The sequence below is a fragment of the Homo sapiens genome, chromosome 20, assembly GCF_000001405.40.
Source record: "Homo sapiens chromosome 20, GRCh38.p14 Primary Assembly".
Taxonomy (NCBI): Eukaryota; Metazoa; Chordata; class Mammalia; order Primates; family Hominidae; genus Homo; species Homo sapiens.
This window is the reverse complement of record NC_000020.11, coordinates 63,264,711-63,272,795: the sequence shown is the minus strand read 5'-3', so window position 1 is coordinate 63,272,795 and position 8,085 is coordinate 63,264,711. Positions and strand designations below refer to the sequence as shown.

The 8,085-nt window shown below is 56.0% G+C and overlaps 1 annotated feature.

Moving 5' to 3' along the window:
* Nucleotides 3-302: a silencer, noted in NCBI's record as "silent region_13150". NCBI's record gives its function as "represses an Ori minimal core promoter by ATAC-STARR-seq in GM12878 lymphoblastoid cells {active_cell/tissue: GM12878}" and the evidence as "EXISTENCE:reporter gene assay evidence [ECO:0000049][PMID:35858748]".

The following is an 8,085-nucleotide window of genomic DNA, read 5'->3' as shown; positions in this document are numbered from 1 at the left end:
CAAGGTCTCACGGGAGCCGGCAAGGGCGGGACTTCCGCCTCAGGCCCCAGCCCCTGACGCGCGCACCCGCCCGGTCGCCATGGGGACGCGCAGCCACGCAGTCCAACTCCCACCCCGGGCCCCGGACCGCAGCTGGTCGTAGTGGCCGCGGAGGACGGCAGCTTTTGGGGGCCGGGCGGGAGAAGCGTCCGTTCATCCGCGGAACCAAGCTGAGGTGCTTCTGGGACGGCGCGTTCACCGGGGGCCGACAACGGGGGCGGGGCGGGTGGGGGCCTGGGGCGGGAGCTGCGGGGCTGGGACAGCCGGGCAGGAGGACGCAGGTAGGAGGACCGGGGGCCATGGAGGACCGGCAGGGGAGCGAGGTCTACGGGGCGGGGGCAGAGGGGCCAGGACAGCCGGGGACCGGCAGGGGGACTCGGGTAGGAGGACTGGGGCAGCGGGCGACAGGCAGGGAGGCGAGGGTCACAGGCAGTGGGCAGCAGGGGACCGGGGGACCGGCGCGGGGGTGGAGGGTTGCGTCCTGGGGCCCATGCTCCCGCCCTGGGGTCTGTCTCCCACCACCCGAGCCTTTGGGCCCTGGTGGGAGGCGGCGGGGTTGAGAGCGTCTGCGGGTCCCCACCCCTGCCACGCAGACGCCCCAGAGCGCAGGTGCGCCCTGGTGGGACCTGAGTCTGCACTAGGAAGGTACAAAGCTGAAAAAGCGATCACCTGTGGGAGGTTAATTGCAGGTCACTTTTTGTTTTGTTTTTACTTTGTACTTTTCTGTGCATTCCACGTATTCCTCCTTGATCTGGGTGACTTTCGAAATGATGGAGAATAAACATTTTTGAGATATAAGCTACACACCGCAAAGCGTCCAGTTCAATGAGTTTTGACAAATGCATACCCCCAGGTAACGTCTACCATAGTGAATTATAGAACATTTCCATCAGAGGCAGCCACTCTTCTGATTCCAGTATCCCCATATCTTAGTTTTGTCTGTTCTGGAATATCACACAAATAGAGTCGTGCAAAATACACTTTCGTGATGGCTTCTTTCCCTTTACGTGATATCTCGGAGATTCAGCCACGTTGTGCGTATCCGTAACTGCCGAGTAGTGTGCCATGGAAAACACGCCACATTCCTTCATTTATTCACACTTTGCACACTGGGGTGGTGTCTAAGTTTTGGCTAGTATGAATAAAGCTGTCTTGAAAGGTCTTTTTGTAGGCATATTTTTTCTTCCTCTTAGGTAATTACCTAGAAGTGAAATTTCTGGGTCCTGGGTAAGTGTGTATGGAACGTTATTAAAACATGCTAAGTGGTCGGGCGCAGTGGCTCATGCCTGTAATCCCAACACTTAGGAAGGCTGAGGCAGGTGGATCACCCGAGGTCAGGAGTTCAAGACCAGCCGGGCCAACATGGCGAAACCCCGTCTCTACTAAAAATACAAAAATTAGCTGGGCTTGGGGGTGCACGCCTGTAATCCCAGCTACTCGGGAGACTGAAGCAGGAGAATTGCTTGAACCCTGGAGGCAAAGGTTACAGTGAGCTGAGATCACTCCACTGCACTCCAGCCTGGGTGACAAAGTGAGACTGCATCTCTAAACAACAACAAAAAGATGGTAAGCATTTCACGCTTCCGCCAGTGATGTGTGAGGTCCAGCTGCTCTGCATCTCTGTCAACACTTGGTATTGTCAGTCTTTTGACGGCAGCAGGCCTTGTGGGTACAAAATGGTGTCTCAGTGCCATTTATTTGCCCTCAGGAGGGAGTCGCCAGTTCTTGCAGTAAGAAACCACTGGTGTGCACAAAAAGGAAAGGGCCAAGGTGACGTGCACAGGCACCAGCAGCATCTACACAAGTGGCAGTTGGAACAGTGTAGATTTCAGCACCGATCTCGTGGTCAGGACTGTGTGGGTACCATCAGTTCAGAGAGTGGGAGCCATGTGCTGGATTAGTCACAGTGGGCTGCCTGGAAGAGGCAGACTGTGAAGGTTGAGAAGCTGAAAAGGAGGAGAGGAAAAGGGAAGGCAGTCTTGGAAGGGGCACAGTTGGGGCCAACATCTGGCATTGGGTAACCAAACAGTCAGTGGAAGCTGAACTTGCAGTTTTCTGATTGTAAAGCAAGTAAGTCAGAGTGCTGTCTCATCAACCAGGCCCACCCGGACTCTGGGAGGTCTGGGGCTATCTCCACCCCCCAGAGCAAGGCCGCCCCAGTTCCTAAAGCTCAGATTAGAGGCATGGCCCTTCCAAAGACAGGGTAGCCTGCTGCCCCACAGCATCCACAGCAGCCTCGCCTCTCTCTGCAATCTCAAGGCTTGCAGAGGCCAACTCACAGAGGGGCCAAAGCTCGCTCACAGTGGTGGGATCTGGCAATGGAGTGGGGAATAGGGCGGAACCTGCAGCTGCCAATTGAAAACGTTCTATTTTCCCATCTAAAATATTTAGGTAATTTGTTTTTCTTCTGGAAGTGCCAGCAGTCCATTAATTTTCAGTTATAGTAATGTGATCGTCTCTGTGCTTTCCTCCCCGAGGCTCTTGAAGGTCTTGATGTGAATAAAATCAAACAGAATAATACAAAAACAGTGAAATGAGAACTTCCTAGTAAATGGCTGTGCAGAGCTGCCTGGGGCACAGGCAGGTGAGCAGGAACGAAGCTGCTGTGAGCCAGGCAGGAGTCCAGGTCACCTGTGAAGTTGTGGGACCTGCAGCAAAGCACTGCCTTTCCCCAGACTCAGGTCATCCATCTGTGGAACAAGGTCTCCAATTTCCCTTTCAAGCCAGAGGCCTACACTGGCTGAGCACTTGCCAGAATTTCAGCCCTGGGCTCGATGAGGAAGAGCATATTTAAACCGCGCAACCGTGCACTCCGATGTGAACCCATTGTTCAGATGAGGAAACCGAGGCACAGTACAATTCAATAATTTGCCCAAAGTGAAAAAGATGGTAAGTGGTGGTGTGAAGGTTTGCACCCAGTCTTCGGAATAGAAGGGGAGGGTCTGTGGAGCCAGCTGTCCGCTGGGCCAGGACCAGGTGGGCCCTGGGATGGGGAGATACAGCGTCAGTTGCAGGGGTGAGAACCACAGAGGTTTCATTCTAAACACAAGGAACAGAGAAAGTGGGCAGGGCCTTGAGCACAGGTCCTCTGTGACCCTGTATGGGCCTCACAGCCAGTCAGCCTGGTCTACAGGGTCCAGCCAGCTCCCAGCAGGGGTGGCAGAGCCTGAGGAACAGCTAGAGCTACCCAATGCTGGGGTGTGTACACACATGTATGTGCAATGTGTGTATATGTGCATGTGTGTGTATGCGTACATTTGTACTGCATGTATGGGTACATGCCTTCAGGCTCATCAGCTTAGGGTCACCATACTGGGTCAGTTATGGGGCATCCCCAAGGGCAGCCACCCTCCTAGGGCTTCCTTGCAAGGCAGGTCCCACTGCATCCACACCTTGCACAACTGTCAGGGCAGGGGCTAAGGCTATGGAGAGACATGCCCAAAGTCCCACAGTGGGTGGCAGCAGCACACAGATGGGGCTCCAGGCCACCCCCACCCCAGAGGCTCCGGGCCAGCCTTGCTGGAATGCCTCCAGCATAGCCAGAGGGTCGGGGCCCCTGCGCGGTCAAAGCACCCTCCCACTCCAGCAATTTGTGCAGCTCTTGGGAAGCCCTGTTGTCTCGTCTAAGGAGTGGCCTGGACCCTCCTGCATGGCAGAACCAATGGGCATCTTGAAATGACTTTTAGTCTCGTCAACTGTCCAGGGCTCCAGGCCCCCATGAGAGGCACATCTGGCCGTAGCGTCACCAGAGCCCTTAGTCTCCCCCGGACTCGGAGCTCACCTTGAAAACTGAGGCTTAGCCCGTTCATTCCTGTGGCTCAGCCCAGCACACATGGCCATGCATGTGGCTGAGAGCCCCTCCCAGCTCAGCTCCTCCCATCCTGCATTCCACCCACCTTTCTCCAGGGAGCACGCCTGAATGTCGGCGTTCCTGTAAATTCCCACGTTGAAATCCTAACCGCCAGTGTGCTGGTTTCAGGAGGTGAGGCCTTTGGGAGGTGATGAGGGGTCAAAGGCAGAGCCCTCATGAATGGGATGAGTGCCCTCATAAAAGGGGCCCCAGAGAGACCCGACGCCTTTCCCATGTGAGGACACAGAGAGGAGGTGCCGGCTCTTGGGCACAGACCCTCGCCCAGCCCAGAATATCCCCATGCCTTGATCTTGGACTTCCGGCCTCCAGAACTGTGAGAAATGAATTTCTGTTGCTCACAAGCCACACAGTCTGGTGGATTTTCTTACAGCAGCCTGAGCAGATTAAGACAAGCACCTCCCAAAGAATCACTGGCACAGCAATCCCTGTCTTCAGCCTCCAGGGAACCTGACCTACGACAGCAGCCCTCCCAGCTGGCATTCCGGCTGCCATGTGCTGTGATGGGTGCCAGCACCTCTTAGTTTGGGTGAAGGGGAGAGGCCAGCAGCATAGCAAAGGGGAAATCCTTCTGGATCGTCGCCTCTCTCTCTCCAACCCTCTCCATCACCAGCATCAACCTGCAAGTCAGGTCACCTTGAGCCAAAGCCAGAAAGCCCCACACTCGCTGGGCTGCTCCATGCTCAGGCTGTTCCCTGCTCAGCGCTCCACACTTCATGGTAGAGTCCCCTGAAGTTCTCCTGCCCAGAAGTTCCTTCTTTCTGCCCAGACCTCGCTCAGCACCATCATCCTAGGAATAAAATCCCAGGAATAAACTCATCATTCCAGGCCTCCTAGGAACTTGGGTTCTGGTCTTGTCTCTGCCCCGCCCTCTCGTGCAGCTGCTGGGGGCCTCCAGCCCCTGCTCACTCACCCACGCCCTCTGCACCCTCCACTTGAGAGAATTCTGGTCATTCCCCTGGCCCTGCCCTGCCCCGTTGTCTGGGAGTTGCTGGAGGGTTGGCTCATCCCCTCGCCCTCTCCCTGTCTCTTGGTGTGTCCGGCCAGGGCTCACACAGAGGCAGCTCCAGGGAAATTCCTGTAGCTCAACTGCTGGGTCCTGCATTGCCACCACAGTCACAGCCAGCTTGAGCGGTGACGGGGGGAAGAAGTGAGGCAGGGGAGCTGACTCGCAGGTGGGGCTTTCAGGAAGGAGGCATTCTACAACCCCAGGGCACCATGGGGGTGCCCCTTGGAGGCTTGAAAGCCCCTTTGGTCCTGGGCAGGACCTCCAGAGGGAGCACGGCCAGCAGTTTGGGGTGGACCTGCCCAGATCTTGTCTTCTGCATAAACAGGCACACGGCCTGGGCTTCCCTGCTACTCACACCTTGATTGGTGGCTTTCTTGCGTCCCCTCTATAGCAGAGGCTTGTTCATCTTAACCACTGAGGTCTCTTACGTTCTCTAACTGGCCTCTGATTGGAAGACAGGACTCTCCTGTCACAATCATCATTACTTTGTTTTACCTTCGATGTTGCACTGGACATCTTTGTGCGGTGACCTCTCTCTGTTTGTGCGAGTATTTCCACAACATAGACCTCTAGAGGTGGAAGTGCCAGGTAAGTTCTGGGAGATTCCACCAAATTGTCCTCCAAACCCCTGTGCCAGATGCGCTGATGGGAGTGTGCCTGTTCCTTGCGTCCCCTCCCTGGCTGCCATTACCAAGGGGGCTGTCTCCGCCGGGCTCTAAGCACACGCGTCGCCATCGCTGTTTAATTTTCTCATCTTAATGGTGGTGAGGCCAAGCAAACACGGCCTGGCCATGGTGTGTCCTGTGGATGCCTGTGTTTTTCTCTGCCCATTTTTGTCTCCTGTTGATCATCTTCCACCACCAGGTCCTTCTGAAACAGCTTTGTCCTGTATCTGGAGAGAAGCACGTGAGGTTGGCCCGGGGCTGCCCACGACGGTGCCGCCTGGGTCCTGGAGAGAAGCGCGTGGGGTTGGCCCGGGGCTGCCCACGACGGTGCCGCCTGGGTCCTGGAGAGAAGCGCGTGGGGTTGGCCCGGGGCTGCCCACGACGGTGCCGCCTGGGTCCTGGAGAGAAGCGCGTGGGGTTGGCCCGGGGCTGCCCACGACGGTGCCGCCTGGGTCCTGGAGAGAAGCGCGTGGGGTTGGCCCGGGGCTGCCCACGACGGTGCCGCCTGGGTCCTGGAGAGAAGCGCGTGGGGTTAGTGCGGGGCTGCCCACGACGGTGCCGCCTGGGTCCTGGAGAGAAGCGCGTGGGGTTGGCCCGGGGCTGCCCACGACGGTGCTGCCTTGGTCCTGGCTTCTGGCCTGCTGCATGGTGGGACTCCACCTGGCTGGTTCCAGCCCCGTCTGCCCCCACTTCTGCTGCCTGTGCGTGGCGTCCAGAAGAACTGGGGCCCAGGACAGAAGGAAATGGGAAGAATGTCAGGGTGTGTAAGTCACCCAGAAGTACAAATGTTCCTCGAAAATGCTGAGCCGCTCTGTCCTGAGCTCCAAGAAACTTGCAGCTGTGCTGAATTACGTGTGGCCACAGCGGCTAAGGAGTCACAGCTAAGAATGTGCTGAGACCAGGCCAGCTTCTCAGATTGCAGAACTGGTAGCTCAGATCCTGGGGCTGTGACAGCTGGACCCGCAGGGTCCTCCTGCTTTGGACCCTCCCATGCGTATCTTAGCCAGGAATCTTTCCAGATTCTAGTTGCTAGAGGCAAAAATCTCAACCCCAAATGGCTTAGCAAAGGGAATGTATTGATTTGTGTGATGAAAATTCTAGAACAAAGTTCAATTTCAGGTGTGGCTTGATCCAGCAGCTCAGCACTATTGCTGAGAACCAGGATTCTCTGTGTATGTTTGCAGTTCCGTCTTCATCCTGAGACCCCAGGATGCTTCTGGCAGCTTCTAAGGCTGCAAGCTTCATGATTCGCCTCCAGCAAGAGAAAGTAGCCTTGCACCGGCATCCCAGCTGAAAGCTCACGCTCCACCCTGATGGGCCTAGCTGGGGTCATGTGTCCACTTCCAAACAATCACCGGCCAGGAGGATAGAATGTGCTGACTGGGTGCCCTGGGCTCCAAGCTCCAGCCCTGAGGCCCATGTGGACTCAGTTTCCCCAGACTGTGAGGACCCCTAGCAGAAGACCAAGGTGTTGGGCACGGAGGGCGAGGTATTGAGAGCCTTGCCTCAAACCGGTGCTGTGTGGCTGGGCTTCCATGGTCCCGAGGGACCGGGAAACTCTTCCTGTGTGATCGGAGTTGTTCCCATGTGTCCCCAGGCCCAGCCAGTTGCCGACAGCCAGAGCGGTACCAACACTGGTGACCGAGTGGTGGGCATTACCAGCTTCCCAAACTGGGATGCCTCTCTCCTGCAGGACGGGGCAGTGTGAGGGTCGGGGCAGGGAGGGTGGGGGGAGAGAAAGGACTGGGCTATGGGGGCACTGAGACATCTCCCCACCCCACCCCTGCCCAGGAAAGGGGGGCAGGGCTTGTGCAGAGGCATATAAACTGTAGGCCTGATTAGCAGTTTAAAATGTTGTTTCAGGCTGGGTGCCGTGGCTCACACCTGCAATCCCAGCACTTTGGGAGGCCGAGGCAGGGAGATCACCTGAGGTCAGGAGTTCGAGACCAGCTTGGCCAACATGATAAGACACTGTCTCTACCAAAAAAACAAAAATTAGCTAGGCATGGTGGTGGGTACCCATAATCCCAGGTACTCAGGAGGCTGAGGCAGGAGAGTTGCTTGAACCGGGGAGGTGGAGGTTGCAGTGAGCCAAGATCGAGATCGCACCAATGTACTCCAGCCTGGGCGACAGAGTGAGACTTCATCTAGAAAAATAAACTAAAAATAACATTGTTTCAATATTAAAACAACCTTAAGTACATTACAAAGTGAAATTCAAGTGCATTTTAAGGATGAAACAGGAGCTCTTGAAATCCCAGGTTCATATCAGGCAGCTCTAGCTGGGCCAGGTCTCAGAAATGAGATCTGTTTCTTTAGAGACTTTGAGGAATGCTCACTGGGTCCCCAACTCACATCTCTGTTTTGAGATGACTTTGCTAATTAGTCATCCAACACGGCCAGTGTCGATTCATTCAACATTGACATTTTTGAGCGTCTGCTGGTTCCAGGTTCTGCGCTGGGAGTATGTAGGGGGGCAGGCACAACTCGGAGTGTCCCCCTTC